This window comes from Homo sapiens, chromosome 14 (genome assembly GCF_000001405.40).
Source record: "Homo sapiens chromosome 14, GRCh38.p14 Primary Assembly".
NCBI classification, from domain to species: Eukaryota; Metazoa; Chordata; class Mammalia; order Primates; family Hominidae; genus Homo; species Homo sapiens.
The window spans coordinates 68,687,480-68,711,303 of record NC_000014.9 but is presented as its reverse complement, the minus strand read 5'-3'; the positions used below and the strand labels follow the sequence as shown (position 1 = coordinate 68,711,303).

General features: G+C 49.0%; 1 pseudogene, besides 1 other annotated feature; it reads right to left on the bottom strand.

Annotated features, from left to right (window-relative positions):
• Positions 5,910 to 6,433: an enhancer, noted in NCBI's record as "H3K4me1 hESC enhancer chr14:69171588-69172111 (GRCh37/hg19 assembly coordinates)". NCBI's record gives its function as "activates a minimal SCP1, AML or CMV promoter by ChIP-STARR-seq in primed H9 embryonic stem cells {active_cell/tissue: H9 hESC(primed)}" and the evidence as "EXISTENCE:reporter gene assay evidence [ECO:0000049][PMID:30033119]".
• On the bottom strand, positions 17,678 to 18,233 carry RPL12P7 (ribosomal protein L12 pseudogene 7; annotated as a pseudogene).

Genomic DNA, 23,824 nt, shown 5'->3' with positions numbered 1-23,824 from the left:
GAGGCTGCTTGCACAGTCAGGCGGGAGAACTCAAGCAGGGTGGAATGAGATAGAGAAGACAGTTGAAGAAGAAGAACCAGGGCTCAGATTTCTAGACGGAGGATGTTCCTGTAATGCCCCACTCAAGTGGGACTTTGGAATGGCTGGAATGGTCATCCAGCAAATAAACGTACTGCACATTGTTTGTGCTTTAATGTACCCACATGCCTGCCTTTTGTCAGGTTCAAAACACCAGATCCAGGAGATAAGTAAAGCCAAGACCAGCGCTGCCCAGGATGGAGACACAGGTGCCTACTTCTCCAGTGGTGGCTGCGGCGAAGGCAGAAGTGAGAGTGCCCCCTACAGAATACATCAGGGAGAGGCAGCCTGGGGTATCAGTATGAGCCTAGGCAAAGGCCATCCATTCATTCACTCTGTGGACAACCATTTGTGGAACACCTACTGAGGTGTCAATAAGACAAAGATCCCATCTTCGAGGAAGCGAGATCAGAATAACTTCCTCACATTACACATCTGGAGAGCAACCAGTTTTTTTCCTCCCGGTTTTCCGTGGTTCCTCGGCACACTGTCACAACTGCAGCCCTAGGTAGGAGGTGAGACTTGGCTAATGGTCTTCCTTACATCCAGACCTCCACTTCCCTCTTCTACTGGTGGAGCAGCTGGGGAAGGGCAGGATGAGAATTGGGGGAGTTGGCTCTACTCTTCCCAAGGTCTTAGGACTCAATGGGACGCCTCTGGATAGTTCCCAGACATGTTGGGTGGTGTGGCAAGGAGTGTTAATGATTTAATGATGCAATTCAATTATGCCAGGCTGTTAATGAGCTAAGTGCAGTATCTTTATTATGCATCAAATACTGGAACACATTAAGTACCTGTAGTGTCTCAGGTCTTCCCCACATGCTACATTAAAATCATGATTCTATAAGAAGCTCATAACCCCTGCTTGTCTAACTTCTTCAATGATCTGACCTTAAATTGATCTGTAAAACCAACTGTGACCTTTATCCTAGAGCTTCAAGAAAGTGGCTTAATAGGGGATTACAATATTCATGTTTCATGTCATCCCAGGAATGGTCTTTGGTCCTTATTCTACTGCGTTCTCACTGTAGGGAACCACTGTAGATTCCTACCACACCACTAATTCCAGTTCTGGAAATGAATTCTATAAAAATTATTCAACAGAAGCAAAAAAAACCTACATGTTTGAAGATGTTCACTGTGCTTAAAAATTGGAAATGATACAGCACATAGAAGATATAAAATATTAGAGGACTAATTGTGCAAGTTATAGGAAATCTGTGTGTGGTATATTATTTAAACATTAGAAATGATAATGACAATGCCTTTGCCACATAGTGGAAGATGTCTCTTATATCATAGTAAACAGAAAAGGTAGAATATAAATCAGTATGTACCTTTGGCAATCAGTTGGCATGCATGTTGAAGGCTGTTTGCAAAAGATAATTATGTTAGGATAATGAGGTATAGGTGCCAAGCACGGTGGCTCACACCTATAATCTAGCACATTGGGAAGCCAAGGCAAGAGGATCACTTGAGGCCAGAAGCTCGAGACTGGCCTGGGCCATATAGCAAGATCTGTCTCTACAAAAAATAGGTGGGATTGGTGGTGTGAGCTTGTAGTCGTAGCTACTCTGGAGGCTGAGGTGGGAGGATCACTTGAGTCCAGGAGTTTGAGGCTGCAGTGAGCTATACTTGTGATACAGAGCCTGGGTGATACAGACAGGTCCTGTCTCAAACACACAAAAAGAATGGTGAGATGTAGGTAATTTGATTATCTTACAATATTAGTGTTAAGGCTGGATGTAATTTTCAAGCACACTAAGAGAAGGAAAAAAATCCTACCTTAGAATATTATAGCAACATCTCATGATTAACCATTTTCTTCATTACGCTCAACTTGCTCCCAAAGTGAGGTGTGGGAACTGGTGGTGTCTGAGTGACCTTGGAATTGTACTCAACAAGCTGATTCCTGGGCTCTGCCCCACCTAGAACCAGAATCCTTTGGGGCATCATCCAAGAATTGGCAGTTCAGCCAAGCTTTGCAGTGATTTTAATGCACGTTCATGTTTGAGAACCACTGTTCTAGAAGTTCTCAGAATCAAATTGTAAACAGATGACAACAAGAAGCAGAAATTGATTTTCCCTCATGAGAAGCAGCCAATTCTCTGAAAGTCAACTTACTTAGGAGTCATTTCACCAGTTCTTTGAATTTGCCAATAGGTCAAAACCTTGTTTTGAAACAATGATTTTTTGAAACATATTCAATGACTATGTTCTCCATGAACATCTGATTGTGTTCTGCCTGAATGTGTTAGTAACTATGCATTAGGAATGTATTCTTATTTGATTAAATATATTTTCATGAATATATTTCTTACAAATATATTCATAAGAAAAAGAAAATATTTTCATTAAAATGACACATTAAAATATATTCAAAAAGAACATATTTATAAGGTAACTAAACCATTCTAGGCCTCTGAGCTTTTGACAAATTGAATATTCTTTAAATTGCTGTTAAGAAACAGATATTTATGGAGAATATTCAAATAATTCTTATGAAATTTGTGAATTTCATGAACTCAAAGAATTGCCATTTAGCAAATTGGTCCTTTGGCAATTGAACTTTTGTTGAATTGACCAAGAGTCTCCTTGAAAAGCCCAAGGCACCCCACCCATGCTGAGGTTCAGGAGCCGCCTGGTGGCCTCAGAGGCTGAGGATCGGTTGGTAGGATGCAGGAGGATCTGGGCAAGGGATCTCTCTCCACTGAATCCCCGAGGTTCACCCAGAGAGTCCCAAGAAGGCCAGTGGTAGCTTTTCCTCTGTCCACATCCAGTTGGGTCTGAAACCGGCCACCCGCTTCATCAAGGAGAGCAGCTCTTACCAGTCTTTTAAAGATGTGAACTTGAAAAGGGAGGACAATGATTTGTAGTTTAATTGGAGAATTAGGGACAGACCATACTCTTGAGGAAGTCCCTGTATGTCTTGCTTTACCTCACCTAGAGATGGGGGTTCCCCACGGAGAACCTTCACCAGGGGACCCTCCTCTGTGACTCTGCCATAACTCTGTTGCTTATGGAGATTCACACATGACCACTATTTTGGTGAGCAGCTAGCGAAAGAGATCCCAAAAGGAGACTGTGCCCATGCCAGCAGCCACTGGCAGTCTTAGGAAATCACTGACAATGTCAGGTGCCATTTATTGAGTGCTTTCCATGTAAGAGTCATGTATTCACCAATTTCCAAGTACTATCTCATTTAATTATCACAGCAATCTGTCAGGTAGGTCCTGCTATGATTGCCGGTTTATAGATGGGGAAATTGAGACCTAGAGATGTAAATCTCTTGCTTGAGGCCTCAGGACCACATGTGGTTGACTTGGGATTTGAAATCAAGCATCCTGGCTCCAGAACTCCTTCCTCCTTTGGTTAGCAAGAAACACTCGAGGTTTTATTGCCTGAAACCCATCTGCTGCTAGCGTGTCTCGAGGATGAATGTTTAAGGAGAACATGAAGTACTAAAGGAAGATATTCTCTTAGATGGCCTGTTATGGGTTTGTTGCAGATGATTCAAGTGGACCAAAGGGATTTAAGTAGGCTCTGGGTCTTGGAACCAAGAGCAGATGAAAGCCAAGGAGTCTTTGCTAAATCAAAAAAATAATTAATCAACGATACAGGTCCTGAGAACTCCTCTGAGTGTCAGAGCCTGAGGGAGATGGAAAGCTCCATGCTTATGCTTTCTTTGTAAGGTTGCCAGAGAGTATATAGGATCCCCAGTTAAATTCAAGTTTCAGATAAACAATTCTTAATATAAGTAGGTTCCAAATATTACATGGCATATACTAACACTATTTTTTTGTTGTTCTTTATTTGAAATTCAAGTTTAACTGGAAGTCTGGTGTTTCTATTTGCTAAATCTGGCAACCTAATTTATCTGGGAAGACAGCTCATAACCCAGGCAGTGTGTCCATAAGAAGTAAGATAATGAGGCCTTTCGAGAAGGAGAAGTTCTGGATTTGAACCCAAGGAGGTAACACGATCTCCTGAGTAACAGTCTTTGGAAGGGGCCTTGTGATAGGAAGGCTTCCTGGCAGGGCTGGTTCCTAAGGATGGTGGGAAGGATCTGGAAGGGCAGAAAGGGCGGAAGACTCCAGGCACATGTGGGACTAGCAAGCAGACAATGAAATATCTTGAGGAGACTTCATGCTGGGGAGGACCGGAGGTGGAAGATCAGTCTGGGGAAGAGTCTTGAAGGTTCTGCTCAGGAATCTGGACAATGTCCTTTGGACAAGGATGAGGGGCTAATTTTGGCAGGATTTTGGGAAGATGAATCTGGTGATGGCACGTAAGACTGGCAGGAAGAGTGCACGAATGAGTAGGTGTGAGGAACTGAGCATGAGGTGGTGAGGGTCTGTGGCAGTGGGAGAGGAAGGTGACCAGAAGGACATTCCAAAGGAATGGTCTCATCTTGCAAGAGGACAGATGGCTTACAGTGGCTGTCTCCTCACAAGTGGGAGACCTGGGCCCTGCTGGGCCTAGAGGAGGAGAAGGCAACAATGGGTACAGAATCCCAGAGGCAATACTCTCATGTGAGGTGCACCCTGAGAAGTGTGACCACAGGAAGGGACAGGGAGGAAGAGAGTGAGTGCCACATCTTGTTCTATTCCACTCCCTCCCTGAATGCACACACACACGCACACACGCACACACGCACGCACATTCACCACTCTGTGCTTATTAGGTTTATGTAGATTTCCATAAATAGTGAACTCCTGTTTTAACTTCAGATAGTATTTATTAAGGATACAATTTTAGCCTTGGATTCTGTTGTTTACTTCCCTTGGAGCCAGTCTTTTGAAGACTTCTACTGCCAAAGCTGTTAGCAGCTTAGTGAGTGACCCTTCTTTTCTGTGTCCTTTCATAGCTGGGACAACTCCTGTTTCTGGTAAAACGTTTTGAGATCCTCTGAAGAAAAGCACTTCAGCAGCACAGGCGATGACTGCTATGTGGCCAGGTCATCCCTCGCCCTGGCCCTGGCATCAAGCCAATCCTGAAAAGCCCGCTCAGCTGTTATAGGCTTTCCCAGCAGAGCCACCTGGGCAAGAAAGGAGCGGCCCAGACAGGTTGGAAATGGAAACAGTCCCAGCCCTTTCCTGGGACTGGGTGGGACGGGACAGACCCACAGGGGCAGGGCAGGGGGGCGGAGTCTCCTCCAGCCAGGGCCTGGCTCTGGGTACTCTTGCTTGATCTGATCTTCTCCCTGCCCTAGGGTTAATTAGGGCTGGGCTTACAGCAATGGTGACTTTCCAGGGTGACCTGGAGGAAAGGTGTGGGCCCAGTGGACCAGTGCATTGTGGGAAGGGAGAATGTTAACCCCCCGGCAGGATGATGGGTACTCAGGGCGAGCAAGTGCAGTCAGACCCTATTTCAAACACATGACTGCAGGCCTCCTGACCGCAGGTCTTGGGCCAAGCGACTGCTACCAAGTGACACTGTGCAGGCAGGGGAGCTTCGGTGTCTTCCCTGAGAAACTGACCAAGGCCAAGGCATACTTGGGCTTAGGTTTCCTGCAGGAACTATGGCTAGCTAGCTCACCCCGGCACACGCTGACCTTGCATCAAGGTGACCTGAACTTCATTGATGGGGAGAATGGGGAAGGGAGACATTACGTGAACTGGCCATTTATTCTCACGCTGCCAGCCAGCCACTTTCCCATGGGAAACAGACCCACTTCACCCTCACTCCCCGTCACTCAAGGGCTGAACCAGGGTTTCTGAAGCAGCCAAGTGGACCTGCTGACCTTTCCTTGTTCTTTGGGCACCTTTTGCCTGTACGTGGACTGTGAGCGCCCTTTCCCAGGAATGCCCTTCCTCCACCTGCCTCTCTGTCTGGTGAACTCCTTGTCATCTGACAAAACTGGCTCCAAAGCCTCCTCCCCTGTGAAGCTTGCCAGTTTCCTCCTTTGATGCCTCCTTCTCAGGGCTCTCTTCTCTTTCTTTGCTGGAGAGAGAGCACTTATGTAACCCACTGCACTGAGAGCTTGATGCCCGAGGCCCCAGATCCACACGAGACTCTGAACTCAGTCCCTGTCACCTTCCTGATCCAGCCTGGGGCTCCTGAATTCTTGGGGCTGAGCCTGGGCCTGAACTTTTCAGGGTTGCTGGGAGGCAGCGCCATGCCACTAGGGCTCTGAGCAACCTTTCAGCTCCCGGTGGCATCCCCAGGTCACTGTCTGACCAAGCAGAAAGTGCCCAGGTCAGGATTCACACACCACCACCTGTGGCCTTGTCTCAGCCTTACTCCGCCTTTCCTGGCTCCTCTCTGAGGCACTGATTCCTCCTTCACCCTCCAGACTCCTCCACTGATCGCTCCCTGACTCAGCACTGTCCTGGCTTGCAGAGCCAGCCTCTCCGTTCTGATTCCCAGCAACTGGGCCAGGCGGCCTTCCTGAGATGCAGTGGCTGGTTGGCACTGCCTCCTCTAGTGTGTGTTGGGGGAGACACCTCAGCCAGGCCTGAGGCTCGGGTGAGGTGGGGAGAAGGCCCAGGAGAGGTGGGGGATGAAGGTGGGGAGACCAAGGGACCAGCCTACCGTCCACAGCAGTGGTTCTTCATGGTGGGGGTGTAGGGCGAGACATTTGGCAAGGTCCAGAGAAATCTTTGGTTGTCACAACTGGCAGGGGGAAGGAGTGCTACAGATATCTAGTGTGTAGAGGCTGAGGACGCTGCTCGCCATCCTACAATGGCCAGGACAGCCCCTTAACAAAAAATAACTTGTCCAAAGTGTCAGCAGTGCTGAGGCAGAGAAACCGTGCTTCGGTGAGAAGGGATGGGGCCAGCAGGGATGGGGGCCTTATGTTTGAGAGGTGGGCTCAAGTGGGCTTCCCTCACCTGAGTGGATGGTTATCCTCAAGCCACATCTGTGGCCTCTCCGCCCCTTCCGGGCTCCTCCTGCGGAGCCACAGTTCCCTGGAGTGTCCGGGGTCTCACTGCTCACTGCTGTCCTGACCTCCCCAGTGGGGGCTGCGGGGCAGTTTCTACAGCCAGGGGATATTGGATGAAAATAGAGGAAATCTTTTACCTGCTCCCCCCATCTCCTAATTTTTTTATAAATAGAGATGGAGTTTTGCTCTGTCACCCAAGCTGGAGTGCAATGGCGCGATCAGGGCTTACCGTAGCCTCGAACTCCTGGGCTCAAGTGATCCTCCTACCTCAGAGCCCCGAGCAGCTGGGACCACAGACGCAGGTGTGCACCACCACACCAAGCTCAGTTTTTAATTGTTTGCAGAGACAGAGTCTTGCTATGTTGCCTGGGCTGGTCTCCAACTCCTCAACTCCAATGATCCTCCCACCTCAGCCTCCCAAAATGCTGGGATTACAGGTGTGAGGCAGCACACCTGGCCCTCTACTTGCTTTTATTTTGTTCCATGTCAGCCCACAGTTTCACAGGGCCAAGGGGCCAAGGGTTTTGTTACCTTATTTTTAAAATGCTATATATAAGGGACCTTTTTTCTTTTATTGATGTATAATAATAGTGTTCATTACCATGCATCGATCACTTATTTTGTGCCAGGAACTTTCACACTTTATATGATTTCATTGTCACAACAATCCTACTAGATAATATTATTATTACTCTTCGGGGAAAATATCCCCAACAGTCCGGATTGGTGACATAATTTGCCCAGGAAGCAGAGATACAAGGCAGCAGTGCTGCGATTGGAACCCAGTCTTTGACCCCCAAATCTGTAAGAGAAACCCCCTGAAGATTTCTCCTGCAGGAAGCTGATGTCTCAGAGGAGCCTCGAGTGAAAAGTGATGCGGGGCTCTTGTGTCTGCCCAAACTGTGCGGATGTGGGTGGGGGCGGCCGGGAGAGGAGCTTCAGGCAGGTAAACATGGGGCAGGGGCCTCTGGGAGACAAGAGGCTACTAGAGGATGTGGGCTGATTCTTGTGAGGGAGTGACTAATACTCACTACCATGAGTCAGCCGAGGCCTGGAAACATCCTCATCCTCCTCCCGGGGCAATGTCCCAACCCCTGATCAGTGCTCCCTACCCCTGAAATGGGTTCAGCTGCCTGAAAGGAAGCTTCCCATGAGGCTCTGGCAAAACGCTGTCCATCCTATTCTCCCAGCCCTGCAGGGAGCTCCCCAGCCTGGCGGCGGCCTGAACCCCCACTGTCCTCCTCAGCTCTGCCCAGGCTAGAAGAAGAGGGGCCCAAGGAAAAAGGAAATGGGGACCAATAGGGCAAGGAAGAGTGAGTTTCTCCAGTGCCAGGGCTGAGAGTCAGGCTCACCTCCAGGGGTCCTGGGCTATGAGGGGCTGCAGGAGGTTGGCAGGCTCACCAAGAGCCAGAGGTGGTTTTCCTCTTCTCAGTTCTTTGTTCCCTAGAGAGCCCTCTGTCTGCATTGACTTGGACTCCCAGAAATGTGCTGGTCCACCCTGGGTAGATCTCCTGGCTGGGCCTGTGGCTTCCGTCTCTGAAGGAAGGCTGGATGCACCAGGGTTTCCTCTTTGCTCTCCCATTGCTCCATACAGCCACAGGTACCCCTTAAGGGAGGTGGCGCTATCCTCTTAGGAGAGAGGAGGAGCCTAAAGCTCAGGAAATTAAATAACTCACACAGTGAAGGGGAGCTGGGGCTTGAACCCCTGTCTCTGCCTCCATGCCCCTCCCCTGGCCTTCCTTCTGCACTTCAGTGGCTCTCGTGTACAGATAGTCTCTTTGCTTTAAGGGCTCTCCTCTGCTCTAGAAAAAACCCGTGATGCTCTTGGTCCTTTCTTGACCCCCTTCTCATGGGGACCCAACCTCAAGAGCAAGCAGGACTGTGTTTCCCAGGGCTGGGGGAATGTCCAGCTCCCTTGCAAGTGGGCTTCTTCCCTGCAGAGCAGCTCGTCTGGTTGCTTGAAGTGTTACTGACACATCACTATCCAAGGACCCTGGGGCATCAAGGTGTGAACTCCCAGCCCAGGCTGCCTCAGGCAGGGATTCCCGCAGTGCTGGGCACCTGAGTGGTACCCACGGAGACTGAGGCTGGGGTAGCCTGTTTCCAGTGCTGACTGCTGCTTGCTCCCTGGCATGTGGCTCCTAGAAGCAGCAGCTCTACAATGGGGGCTGGGGCCTCAGTGGCTGCATCTAGCTGCTCAGGTGGCCTTGACCCCTGCCTGAGTGTGTGTGGGGCGGTAACAAAGTGGGGGAAGAAGCTGTGCTCACATATTTTCTTGACAGCAGCAAACATCAAAAGGGGTCTCAATCCTTAAATAATGATAACAACCCGGCTGGGCGCAGTGGCTCACCCTTGTAATCCCAGCACTTTGGGAGGCCAAGGCGGACAGATCATGAGGTCAGGAGATGGAGACCATCCTGGCTAACACAGTGAAACCCCGTCTCTACTAAAAATACAAAAAATTAGCCAGGCGTGGTGGCAGGTGCCTGTAGTCCCAGCTACTCAGGAGGCTGAGGCAGGAGAATTGCGTGAACCCGGGAGGCAGAGCCAAGTTCGCGCCACTGCACTCCAGCCTGGGCGATAGAGTGAGACTTTGTCTTAAAAAAAAAAAATGATAACAACCCAAGTTTATTGGGTCTCTATTATATTCATTTATAGTAAGTTTATGTTTAAGTACATGTATTTATTTATACATATATTGACTCATTTAATCCCTACCACACCCCAAAAAAGAGATACTTTGATGATGTCTGTTTTATAGATGCGAAACTGAGGCTCAGAGAAGGGAAGTAACTTGCCCTAGTAGTAGTGATAGTAGTGGGTTCTGACATTCTGAGTTCAGGCCTGGGCAGCTGGTTTCCAGGTCTGCTCTCTGGCCACTGTACTATATTGCCTGGGTAAGGACACTTTTGAGAAGGTCATATGGGTTCCCCTGGATGTCTCTCATGAGGCATCTATTTTTTAGAACCTTGAAGAATGATCCAAGCTAACCAGGAAGAGAAAAAGGGGTGGTGCGGGGCCCAAAGACGGGGCCTTCCAGGCAGAGGTGACAGGGCAGGCAAAAGCTTGGAGGCCTGATGGTGCTAGACAAAAGCAGAGAACTATCAGCACATCAGTATTCCTAGGAGGCAGGTGTGACAGAAGATGAGCTGGTGAGGTTTGCATCATAAGGGCCTGCAAGGCCATGCTAGGGCCCTGAGCTTTGTCCAGCCTCTGCCGCCCGGCCTGAAAGACCACAGGAAAGAGGAGAGCCTCATAGAGCAGGGGCTGACAACAGTGAGACCAGGTGGACACGCACTACCTGGTTTCAAGAGTTACCATAAAGCTAGAGTGAACAAGGCAGTGGAATTGGTGAAAGGATACACATTTGTAACAGAAGAACCGAATGGAGACCGCAGAAATACACATGCATAGTCAGTTGATTTCTGACAAAGTACAGAGGGAATTCACTGGAGACAGATGGGGTCTTAGTTTGTTCCTGCTGCTGTAACAAAATACCTGAGACTGGGTCATTTATAAAAACAGTGATTTATTTTCTCATGGTTCTGGAGGCTGGGAAGTCCAAGATCAAGGCACTGGTGGATTCGGTGTCTGGTAAGGGCTGTTGTCTGCTTCCAAGATGGTGCCTCTTGATGCATCCTCACATGGCAACAGGGACCAACAGCTCCCTCACACCTCTGTTGTAAGGGTGCTAATCCCATCTGTGAGGGCTCTGTTCTCATGAGTTAATCACCTCCTAAAGGCCCTAACTCTTTTATTTATTTATTTATTTATTTATTTATTTATTTATTTATTTATTTGAGATAGAGTGTCACTCTGTTGCCCAGGCTGGAGTGCAGTGGCACGATCTCAGCTCACTGCAACCTCCACTTCCTGGGTTCAAGTGATTCTCCCGCCTCAGCCTCCCAAGTTGCTGGGATTACAGGTGTGTACTACTATGCCCGGCTAATTTTTGTATTTTTTGTTAGAGATAGGGGTTTCACCATGTTGGCCAGGCTGGTCTCAAATGATCCACTTGCCTTGGCCTCCCAAAGTGCTGGGATTATAGGCATGAGCCACTGTGCCTGGCCTAGGCCATAAGTCTTAATACTATCACACTGGCAATGAAGTTTCAACATATGAATTTTGTGGGGATACATTCAGAGCATGGCAGATAGTCTCTTTAAAAAATGATGCTAGAGCATCTACACATCCATGCAAAAAAAGAAAAAAAGAAAAGAAAGAAAAGAGGAGAGAGAGGAAAAAAGATTGAATGTTGACCTATAACTCAAAATGGATCATAGACCTAAATGTAAAATGTTAAAATGTGAAATACAGAAACATAAGTGAAAGTACAAAAGAAAAAGCCTAAAAGCATGAAAGAAGAAAACAGGAGAAAATCTTTCTGATTTGGATTAGGCAAAGATTTCTTGGATATGACATTGAAAACACAATCCAGAAAAGAAAAATTTATAAATTGGATTTCATCAAAATTAAAACCTTCTGTTTTTAGAATGGCACTGATAACAAAGTAAGAAGACAAATCTTCTATGCAGACTGGGAGGAATATTGCAAAATCTGTATCTGACAGAGGACTTGTGTCTAGAATATATTAAAAATTCTCAAAACTCAGTAAGAAGAAAACAAACAATCCATTTTTTAAAAAATGGCAGAATACTTGAACATATACTTCACCAGAAAAGAAATATGAATAGCAAATAAACACATAAAAGGTGTTTAACATAATTAATCACTAAATTTAAATCATAATGAGAAACCACTATTATTATTTTGGAATGGATAAAATAAAAAAAAACATTCAAAACACAAAACTGACAATATTAAGTACTGGGGCGGGGGATGTGGAGCAACTGGAACTCTCAGACATGCTGGTGAGAATGCAAAACAGAACAGCCACTTTGGAAAACAATTTGGCAGTTTGATATGAAGTTAAGCATATACTTATTATATAAGTGAGGAATATAACTTTAAGGTATTTAACTGGAGAAATACAAACTTCTGTCCACAAAAAAACCTGTGGACAAATATTTATAGTGGCTTTATTCATGGTGGCCCAGAACTGGGAACAACTCAAATGTCCTTCTATTACTGAATGAATAAACTGTTACACATCTATGTACTGTAACACTACTTATCAATGGAAACGAACTTCTTCTTTTTATCTGAGACAGAGTCTCACTCTGTCGCCCAGGCTGCAGTGCAGTGGCGCGATCTCTGCTCACTGCAACCTCCACCTCCCTGGTTCAAGCAATTCCCCTGCCTTAGTCTTCCAAGTAGCTGTGATTACAGGCACACGCCACCGCATCCGGCTAATATTTTTGTATTTTTAGTAGAGATGGGGTTTCACCATGTTGGCCAGACTGGTCTTGAACCATTGACCTCAGGCAATCTGCCCGCTTCAGCCTCCCGAAGTGCTGGGATTACAAGCATGAGCCACCGTGCCTGGCCAAAAACGAACTTCTTTTTTTCTTCAACTTTTATTTCAAGTTCAGGAGTACATGTGTAGGATGTGCAGGTTTGTTACACAGGTAAACGTGTGCCATGGGCTGGGCGCGGTGGCTCACGCCTGTAATCCCAGCCCTTTGGGAGGCTGAGGCGGGTGGATCATGAGGTCAGGAGTTCAAGACCAGCCTGGCCAAGATGGTGAAACCCGTCTCTACTAAAAATACAAAAATTAGCCAGGCACAGTGGCAGGCACGTGTAATCCCAGCTACTCGGGAGGTTGAAGCAGGAGAATCACTTGAACCCAGGTGGCAGAGGTTGCAGTGAGCTGAGATCACGCCACTGCACTCCAGCCTAAGCAATAGAGTGAGACTCCGTCTCAAAACAACAATGACAACAACAACAACAAACCATGTGCCATGGTGGTTTGCTGCACAGATCATCCCATCACCTAGGTATGAAGCCCAGCATCTATTAGCTATTCTTCCTGATGCTCTCCCTCCCCCAACTCCACCTCTGACAGACCCCAGTGTATGTTGTTCCCCCTGATGTGTCCATGTGTTCTCACTGTTCTGTTCCCACTTATAAGTGAGAACATGCAGTGTTTGGTTTTCTGTTCCTGTGTTAGTTTGCTGAGGAAAATGGCTTCCAGCTTCATTCATGTAACTGCAAAGGATGTGATCTTGTTCCTTTTTAATGACTGCATAGAATTCCACGGTGTATATGTATCACATTTTCTTTATCTATCATCGATGGGCATTTAGGTTAATTCCTTGTCCTTGCTATTGTGAATAGTGCTGCAATGAACATACATGTGCATGTGTCTTTACAATAGAATGATTTATATTCTTTTTGGGTATATACCCAGTAATGGCATTCCTGGGTCAAATGATATTCCTGCCTCTAGGTCTTTGAAAAATTGCCACACTGTCTTCCACAATGGTTGAACTAATTTACACTCCCACCAACAGTGTAAAAGCGTTCCTTTTTCTTCACAACCTTGCCAGAATCTGTTGTTTTTGACTTTTTAATAATTGCTGTTCTGATGGGCATGAGATGGTATCTCACTGTGGTTTTGATTTGCATTTCTCTAATGACCAGTGATGTTGAGCTTTTTTTCATATGCTTGTTGGCCACATGCATGTCTTCTCTTGAGAAGTGTCTGTTCATGTCCTTTGCCCACTATTTAACGGGGTTAATGAAAACGAACTTCTGATACAGGTAGCATGGACGAATCTCAAGTGCATTAGGCTAAATGAAAGAAGGCAGATTCCGTGCTATGCCCCTTATGATTCCATTTATATGGCCTTTTGGAAAAGGCAAAACTAATGGGTCAAAATACCTGATGAGCAGTTTTCAATGGCTAGGGCTGGGGGAAGGGGTTGACTATAATGAAGCCCTGCAGAATTTTAGGGGGTGATGGAACTGTTCTGTATCTTGATTGTGGTGATGGTTACACAACTGCATGCATTTGCTAAAACTCAAAGAACTGTATTTTAAAATGGATGAATTTCATTGTATGTACACTTAATTTCAACAAACCTGACCACCACCACCAACACCGCCACCACCACCAACAGAGGGTAGCTAGGTTATAGGGCATAAGACAGAGTTGGGGAGACCCACCTTGGGCCTGGTCCCTAACTGGCATTCTGCCTCATCAGACCCTGTCTTCCCATCCCTGAGGGCTCAGCCAACTGCTACAGAAACCTTGCTCCCTGCAGTTTCCAAAAGCCAGAAAGGGAACCATTAATAAGCCCCTCCTGTGAAGTGTTAAGGTCCTCGTTTTTATTAAATGCAAGTGCTCCTGGGAGGGCTAATAGCTTAAGTTGAGGGAGGCTCTTGCAGAGGAAGGATGGGAACAGAGACAGTTTTCTAGGAGGTTGGAGAAGAGCGGGATGGAGTGGAGGATAAGCCTTCAGTGTGGTTGGTGGCACTGGGCTGCTCCCATGCATCATGGGCGTGTTGGGGGCAGGGGGTTAGGAACTACATGGAAGACAGGCACGCACCCCATGCTTGCTTTTGGGTTAGTTTGCAAAGTCTTCCCTCCCCACCTGGCAACCACAGCCCCTGCCTGGGCTTCCTTCCCCAGTACCTTCCTCAATCACCTTCGAATTATCCAATGCCAAGTACAAATAGCCAGGTTTGGGGACTTATTTTTTTATGGTAACTAAACACAAAGGCCTCAGGATCTTCATTTGGTATATTTCTGCTTCCTTGGGTCTTCTGGGGTTCAGATGACCTTAGGGCTTCTGTCTTAAGGGAAGTTTCCTGGTCAGTGAGAGGAGCAGAGGGCTGGAGTAGGTATCAGGGCTCCAGGCTTCTGTGGTCTTGCCATGCCAATGAGGAGGTTGGAGGATTGGCTAAAGCAGCTGCTGGGGGCCTGTAGCTAATGATTGGACTTTTTTCTATACCATTTTCTTCAAATTTTCCATGCACCTTCCCACCGCAGGACCTTTGAACATGCCATTCCCTCTCTCTGGGGCTCCTCCCCTTCAGAAGTTATGTTGGACTACCACTCACTGCACCCGACTGTGCCTGTGTGCTGAGGATACCAGAATCAGGAAGACAAGGGTCTCATGTGAAAGAAGACTCCGGCCTAGGGAGAATGGTAGTGAGAGTGGTACTAACTAAAATAATAATAACAGTGGCAACAACACTGGCAGGGCCGTTGAGGGAGCACTCACGAGGTGCCAGGCATTTATGTGCACTATGACATTGAAAACTCACAACAGTCTTACAGATGGACAGTGTTATTATCCCCATTTTATCAAAGAGGAAACAGGCTGAGAGAGGATAAGTCACTTGCTGAGCTGGTACATGGCAGGGTTGGAACTTTGAGTCCAAGCCTCTGGGACTCCAGAGTCATGTGTTTGGCCACAGTGTTTTCCCACTACACCCAGAAAAGTCCCCCTCTACCCCATAGGAAGGAAAGTCACATCCAACTTCAACTTGGCAGGTCCTCAGTTGGATCATTTAGAAGGAATGAAAAACAAGAGTAACATTGGCTATTGCATAGGATGCAGGCTACCAGCCTAAGACTGTGGGCCAAGGAGGGCTGGGCAGAGGTGCTGCACATACCTGGCCACCTGGCCCCAACTCTTCCTCTAAGACTCTTTCCACTCATTGTACTCATAGAGGACTTTTTTCCAAGGTGTGAAATCCAGAACAGACTGTTCAGGGTGACCAGAGGCTTGTGGGAAGACGCCTCGGGGCATGAGCCTTCCTGACTCAGCGCTCTTCCACTCCAGTTTTTGGACAGAGGTAAGGTATGTACTTGATGTTGAGCCCACAGCAGACCAATAAGTCATCCTCAGCCTCCCAGAGTCTGGTGGGGCTCTGTTGTCTAGTAAGCTGAAGACAATACTTCATGAATAACGTGGGTGTGATGTTGAGTAACAGTGATGGTTGATGGGCTCGGGGGCTGACTCATTTCTGAAGGCCTTGAATCAGACCAATGTTATTTCCTTTGGTTTTCAGTGGACCTAACCCAGATTGCCCTGAACACCTGCCCCTGTTGCTGAATCAGAGATGTGGGCTCTGGCCGGCGGAGGACCAAGACTTTACTGTGGGGCTCGAGCCCAGTTAAAGAAACACTATCCAGGAGATTCTATCATGGGACTTGAGGCTGGTGGACAAAGCGGGAAGAGGAAGGCCCGGTCCAAGTGAGGGGCATGGGTTTTGAGTCCACAGAAAAGAGGGGGAATATGCTTTGGTTGAAACCAAAAAAGCTCAGAGGGAAGATACAAAATAGGACCCCTGAGCAAGTTTAGATTTCTGTTTTCCCTCCCTCTCCTAGCACTCCTCTCATAAGCTGGGTAGAGGAGAAGCAAAGCCAGGAAATGAGTCCCTGGATAAGGCAGGCTTCGGGCAGGCCAGTGCCCAGTGCCTGCACTGCAATCTTAAAAGTGACCTGGAGCAAGATCTGACCAGGTGGAGCTCCCACCCTTAGCTGGTGAGCCCAGCGCCTCCTGTGTGGGGCGGTCTGGGCTGCCCAGCTATGGGCTTCACAGACATCCCCAGAAATGCATCTGGGGAGACCCAGCTCCCAGGGGAGCTCCTTGAAGGCAGGGTGGCGTCTTCTCTCCCTGCTTCCTGTGGCACATCCTGAGCTTTGGGTGCTCAACAGAGGGTGTGGAGGAAGACGCTGTGAGGATGACTCTGGAGCAGTTACCAGGACAGAAGACTCCAGGGAAGACAAGTAGGGGGCCAAGACCTAGGAGGAGCCTTTCACAAACCGCAGGTCCAAGTGGGAGGTGCCAGGCCCCAAGCAGTCAACACTTCTGTTATTGTTAGGGGTAACCCTGGCTTTAAGCCAAACCACGATATGTAACAATTATCCAGATTATCCAAATTGTATGAAAACACCACATAAAATTATTACTCAAATTTTAGCTGTTCCCAGACAGCTTCTGGGAACACATCTATTGCACGGAGTCAATTGTATTGTGTGAAATGTGTGGATGGCAGGTTATTGAACTCCTAGGTCCCAAGTAGCCTCATAAACATGAAGACTCAGGGGACCATTGGCTCCCCTGCTCTGCTCTTTCTTTTGTCTTCCATTTCCTTCTGTGGCTTTCAAAGTCCCATGCCTAGGAAAATCTGCTCTGCGGACAGCCTGGAAGAAATGGGAGTCCTGCTACAGACGGTTTGCCAAGGCTTGGCCAGGGAAGTTTACTGCATTGCAGCAGCTTAAAAATGCAACTGGATGGGCATCTCTGCTTTGGAGCATCAGCAGTGGCATCACAAAATGTGGGCACTGAGAGAGACTCTGAAACTCTAGTCCAACTCTCCCCTGGGAGCTCCTTCTCTAAAATTCCAAAGGCTGCATTGTGGCTGGTGTGGGGCCCTGGGAGCATTGCTGGCACTCTTGCCACCCCTGCTCCCTCCCATCCCCTTGTCTGCAAATATTGCCAGGCCCTGTGTAGTTGTCCCAAAGTTCCCCTGTGTCCCTTGCCTCCCTCCAGGGAGAGAGAAGCTTGCAGGTTCTACTGAACCTCCCAGCTAATCTAAGCGGATAGATAGAATGACAAATGATTTCTTCAGCAAGGGCTCCTGCGGAAGAGTCAATGAGCTCCGTGCTTCCCCAGGTGGAAAGGGTAAACAGAGACAGAATCTGAGCACATGCAGCAAAGAAGCTCGTGATGAGGTTCAGCAGGCGGACGAGTGCTAGAACACAGTCTTTGACTTGCTCTTGTTCCCGGGCCCTGACTGGCTCCCTCTGTCATTCCCCACCTTCTTCAGTACAGTTCTCTCTTTAAATTTTTTTTGGTCGTCAAATGATCCTTTATTGAAATATTTCTATATGTAGCCCTTAACTAGCTGGCCACTCCACCCGCACCACTATCAAAGCCATCTGTGATGTCGTGAGGGTGGCGCCATCAACACTACAGCCCACAGACTAGGCAGTCCTCACGATCTCTTTAATGATTCCAGAGAGTTCTCTGGCTAAAGATCAGTGCTGCATCTGTTGGGCAATGTTGATGATCTCACCACAAATGATATTTCCACTGTACTTAATGTTTTTCTGCTTGTTTCTGTCTCTTGGTGGTTCCTCAAGGGCTTTCATGATCACTGCAGAGGCAGAAGATGCCACTTGAATCTGGCCTGTGTGTTCTGCACCGTCAGTTTCACTGGGATCCTCTGGCCCTTCCAGTCACTTGTCTTGGTGATGTCCTCATTGGCCTTTTTTGGAGACAGACCCAGGGGGCTGATCTTAGGAACCAGAGCAGATGTAGTACTGACTTCCCCACTCGTGCACCTCAGGTATACGACTTTGATCTTGTTGGGGTTGAACTTGGGTGACATGGCAGAGGTGGTGGGTTTCCTGGCCTGCCATTCACAACGTCATTCACATGCCCTTCCAGGCTCATCTCCTAGCACCTCCCTCCACATTCCTATGTGCCAGACATATCTGCCTATCGTCACCACCTATGGTGGGCTTGGGTGCCTCTGGACCTGCTGCTCACTCTGCCTGGAATATATTTCTCTCAGCTAAACTCCTGCCCATCTTTTCAAGCTGGAATCAAATCCCCCTGTCTAGAGTATTTCCCGGATCCCCATGGAGAGGGTTAGGCAAAGACCATGAATGTTGCCGGCCACTTTACGGGAGAGAGGGTTTATCTCATTGCACTGTAATCAACAGTAGCCTTACTCTCTAATGCCCCTGACACGAGATAGGCACTCAGTAAATGGTCCTAGGAGTGAATGAATGTGTGAAAGAATGAATGAGCTGGTGGCAGGGTAAGAAAAGGAAACAGATGTGTCCATTAAGGGAAAACCTGCCTTGTGATTGGTGCCTCTCAAGACCTCATTCAGGATGTCCTCTCTGGAAGCTGGCTTTGGGGTGCTGCCTCGCCCGCTTTTGCCCCTTCGTGCTAAGTAAGAAGTTCCTCGATAACGCTGTGCTGTCTGCCTGGCCTCTTCCAAGGATTGCTTCATTGGCTGCTGGCTCCTGGCTTTTCTGGTCACTTCAAGGAGAGATGTGCACATCTCTCCTTGGGGGTTAATGCCTGAGAAAGCCTGGGAATCAATCAGATCTGGGCTAAATCAGACGAAGGACCTCACGCTCTGCAGTGAGGCTGGAGTCTGCTTGGGGGCAGCTAGACAGATGCTTCACAGAGAGGGAGAAAAGTTTCCAGGGTCCGGGGTTCCAGCATTCTTTGTGGGGGTATGAGGAAGTCCTTGAGGAAGGGGCAATAATAGAGATAATTTATTGGGTTGAGGTTGGATGAGAGGGAGACTGGGGGCGGCGGCAGGGGTCTGGGAGAGGGTGGGTGAATGTGTGTGTGCATGTTTTGTGGGGAGGGAATGTGGGAAAGAAGGGTATGGACAAGGCCTGACTGTGAGGGCAGGAGAGAGCTGGGGAGTGAGGGTGGCTCAGGGGCCCAGCTCTGCAGCCCCTGAATAGTAAGTGCCTGCAAAAGCTTCGCAGGCAGAATGGAAGAAAAGGCAGAATCTGGACTCACAGGCCCTGGCTGTATTGAAGGGGCAGAGTCCCTGGGGCAGGGAGCACCCTTAGCTTGGAAGTGTTAATGCAGGTTCAGGTTAGGGCCTCCACAAGAGGCCCAGGAAGCAGAAACAGAGCTGACGACTTGCCCGGTGCCAGGCACAGAGACCAGGAGGAGCAGTGTGGGAGCTTCTCAGCCATGGTTCCATGCATTTCCCCCTCTTCCTCACAATCGCCCCGGGGGCACAGGAACAGTTTGGGCCCAGGCTGATGAGGAGTGCGGGTAGCCTGTTTCCCACCTACCCGCCAGCAGTTTATACACTAATAGCCCACAGCACCCCAGGAGGGGGTGAACGGGGATCCATTTGTTTTTCCAGAGTTTGACCTCTGGGTAAAACTCTTTCCCCAAAATGTGCCGGTTTAAGTGAAAGTGATAAATCAGCCCCTTTGAAATGCAGAAGCAGCTTGGGGAAGCCCCCTTTGATATTCAGCTTGGAACCGGGGCACTTAAAACCTGGGTTAATTCTCCGGCTTTATTGGAGGCAGAGAAAGAGAAGAGGAGGAAACCCAGGGCTGGTCATTAAGTCTGGGGGACTTGAAAAGCCCGGGGCAGGGGCCGGGCTGCCGCAAAGGGATCACGAAGGCAAAGCGGCCCTGGGAAAAGCATCCCGGCCCGATGAACTCTAATCCCGGTTCCCACCCAGACAGATGAGACGCGGAGGGTGGTGGAGAGGAGGGGGCGGGCAGGACCGGAGAGAGGCTCTGGAAGATGGGGAGGCGGTTGCCATGGAAACGGGGCGGGCACTGGAAAGGAGAAAGCCAAGGGCTAACTTGGCAATTTCCTGAAAGGAGCTGAGAATTCAAGAGAGTGTGTGTCCCATTCACTGGGCGGCTTGTGCTTTCAGAGGTCTGGGGGCTGCGGCCCCTCCATGGGAGCCAGCGCTCTATGGCGGGCCTGTTACCTCCAGAGCCCTGGCCTGGGCCCTTCATTAGAAACATCTGCTCCTCATAGGCTCCATATAACAGAGTGGAGGGGGGAATAAGGCCTTGAGGCCACTACATGCCTTTCAGAGGGTGGGGGGCCACTGAGGATGCAAGGCTTTCTCCCGCGTTCCGCTCCCAGAAGGGAGGAAGGGCTGGGTGTGGGGGCACAGGGGCCCCAAGGCTGCTTTGTGCTAGTAAGGGGACCCTGCATCCTGGATTTTCCAGGGTGGTTCCCACTGTTATTCCCGCAAGTGACAAGTCCCAGTCTTGGAGTTGTCAGAGACGGTGTTCCAATTCGGGGTCTGGGACAAGCGGCCCCAGTAACTACTCTCCAAGGAGATTCCTCAGAGTTTCCGAATGTGGGTCCTGCCTCCTGACACAGCTGCTGCCAGCCAGCCTGTGAGCTGCGGGCAGGGATGAGCGGATGAGTGGCGGGATGGTTGGGCTGCTGCCTGTCCACCCCTGCTCTGTCTTTTATTTGCAGAGGAATGGGGAGGCAGGTAGGGAGTAGAGGATAGGAGTTGAGAAAGTAAAAACTTGATTCTCTAGAGCTTGGTCCTCCCATTTCAGACAGGCCAGAGGAGAGGGTCCTTGCCAGCCCCTGCTCCCCTCTGACTCAGGAGTGCTAAATTCCGGGGAACATATTTACTATGCTGTTGGGCTGGCCTTTGCCTGGCATGGGTTCTGGCTCAGTGGTTTCAGACACAAACACTCAGGATCAGCTTGGTAGCCTGGGACAGGGGTGCTTCCTGAGCCCCCCAGCACCTCTCCCTACCCCCTCCTCATGGAATCAGGAGCCCATGTCCTCTGGAGGAGCTCCTCCACTTGTGACTTCCACTCAGACCCTGGCCTGCCTGGGACCGAGCAGGGCCTCAGGGGTCCACCCTGGTCTCCTGAAGCCTTTCCGGTGTCAGAACAACTCACCTACAACTGCACTCCTCAGCAGGTCTCAGGCAAGGAGGCAAACTAAAGAAATCACAGAAATCACTTGCTTTTAGGCTTCTTTAACTTGGCGTAATGGAGGGCGACCCTCTAGAAGTTGGGGGGCTGTCACTTCCCACCTCCCTGGGGGATGTGGGGAGGTGGGGACAGAGGACCCTCAGCAGGGCCCAGTGGCCCTCAGATCTGCTGCCCACTTTGCAGTCATCTCTGATGCCTCCTCCTTGCTCTCCTGCCCTTGGGGTGGCCAGGAGGAGGGGGCTTGCTCTGTGCTTTACTCCCCCCTCACTTTGAACCTCCACAGTGCTGGAGCACGTCATCAAGCTAAAGCAGCAGGGGCTGGCCAACCTCCTGAGCTCCATTCCCGACTGCAAGGGAGGTGGGCTTTGGAAAGGAGGGTGGGAGTCGGGTTCACAAGGTGCCTGCTTGAAAGCAGAGCCAAGTGGCATTACGAAAAAGGGGCTGGCCAAGGGGAGATACCGTCAACCCAAGGCCCCAGAGAGAAGGAAGTGATGGGGGAAAGGAGGAATTGCAGGGTGTGGGGTCCACAGAGAGGAAGACAGGAGAGAAAAGATGGAGGGCGGTTGGCAGGGAGGGAAGGGAGTGTCAGAACCAACTCCTGGTCAAAGCAAGTGAGGGTCAAACTTAGGTTGTGTGAGATGTTGCTGGGAAAAAAATCTGTGGTGGTGGTGGGGTGTGTGTATGTGCACATGCATGCATAGGATCCTGTGTCCAGATACACACACACACACACACGCACACATACACACACACCCAGGGGGAGCTACAGGGTAGGCCTGTGCCAGAAACTGCTGCATTCTTCTCAACCCTAAAGCCAAGGCTGTCTTTGCAAAATGCTTTCTCATTACTTGCAGGCACATTTTCCTCTACTGCACTCGGCTCTTGTTTCTATGCGCTGCTGCAGTCAAGGCTCTTTCTCCCTCCTCCCTCAAGCAGCTATACATACACAAAACACCTGCATTTTATTAATGCTGCCTGGAGCTGGGGCGGGATGGAGCCCCCTCTGCTCTCACCGCACCCCCTCCTCCTCAGCCATGCTCAGCGAAGCAAAACGCAGGGGTTAACCCTGTGTAGCTGGGTTTTTGTCCCAGAGACGTAGTCCCCACGAGGGGTACAGAAAAGTGCAGAAGAGGGGTCCTGTCCCCAGGACAGTTGGACAGACATTGTGGGAACCCCCGCACTGCCCTGGCACCACACATGCCTGGCCCCGAGCTTTTGGCCGAATTCTTGTTTGGCCCCAAAACTTTTCTCTCGAGGAGATGAGGATACCATTCTGTCTTGAAAGGAATCCTTGCGAAGCTGTAAGAGAAACTCCGAAAGGATGGCCCTGTAAACATCTCATCTCTCTGCCTTTAGGAGCCATTGGGACTAAACAATTCCAGAAAAATAGCTGCTTTTCTTTAAAAAAATATTTTAAATTAGAAAAAGCACAAAGAATGTAAAAGTGGACCGTAATCTCATCAACCTGGCAGCTTTGTTAACTTTGTTTTTAAACGCAATACATACACATTAGAAAGCATAACACGAAAATTTAATTTCTCTCCCCTCAAGTTACAGTTGCTCCTGTCAAAGGTAATGACTATTAAGAGTTTCTTGTGTGTTCTTTCCTTCCAGGGAAATAACTTGGGCATACAGTGACATCTTCTTTTTTTAATTAAAAATAAGTCTGGAATTCTTGTCATATCAGCACATGGAGATCGCCTCTATTCTTTGCTTTTTTTTTTTTTTTTTCTTGAGACAGAGTCTCACTCTTGTCACCCAGGCTGGAGGTCAATGGCGCTCTCTCTGCTCATGGCAACCTCCGTCTCCAGGGTTCAAGTGATTCTCCTGCCTCAGCCTCCCCAGTAGCTGGGACTACAGGCGCCTGCCACCATACCCGGCTAATTTTTTGTATTTTTAGTAAAAACGGGGTTTCATCATGTTGGCCAGGCTCGTCTCAAACGCCTGACCTCAGGTGATTCACCCGCTCGGCCTCCCAGAGTGCTGGGATTACAGGCATGAGCCACCGCACCTGGCCCTCCTTCATTCTTTTTAATGGTTGTGTGGGAATTCACGGTATGGCTGTACCATAGTTTATTTCAGCAGTGTCCTAGTGAGGGACCACAGGCCACTCCCAGTGACTAAGTCTTGCAGACATTGCTGCTATGAGGATCCTTAGACATATGCCTGGAGCCGTATGTGTGTGAGGATAACAGCAGAATTCCTGCCAGTGCAATTGCCGAGTCAAAGGATATGTGCATGCAATGTTTGGTCTCCTCTTTTTTGAAAAGGGCTGTTTCTTTTCCTGCCCTTCTCTATTTTTTTTTCTACCAGGCAAACTCCTACTTACCCATCAGAATCCAGCTCCAATTTCATCTCTGTGAAGCCTTCTCTGGTTGCTCTGGGAACCAACCAGCTCCTTCTTCCATGCTTCCTTGGTCCCTCTTACCAAGTCTTACTGTAGCCCAACGTTCTTTTTTGTTGTTGTTGAGATGGAGTCTCGCTCTGTCGCCCAGGCTGGAGTGCAGTGGCGAGATCTCGGCTCA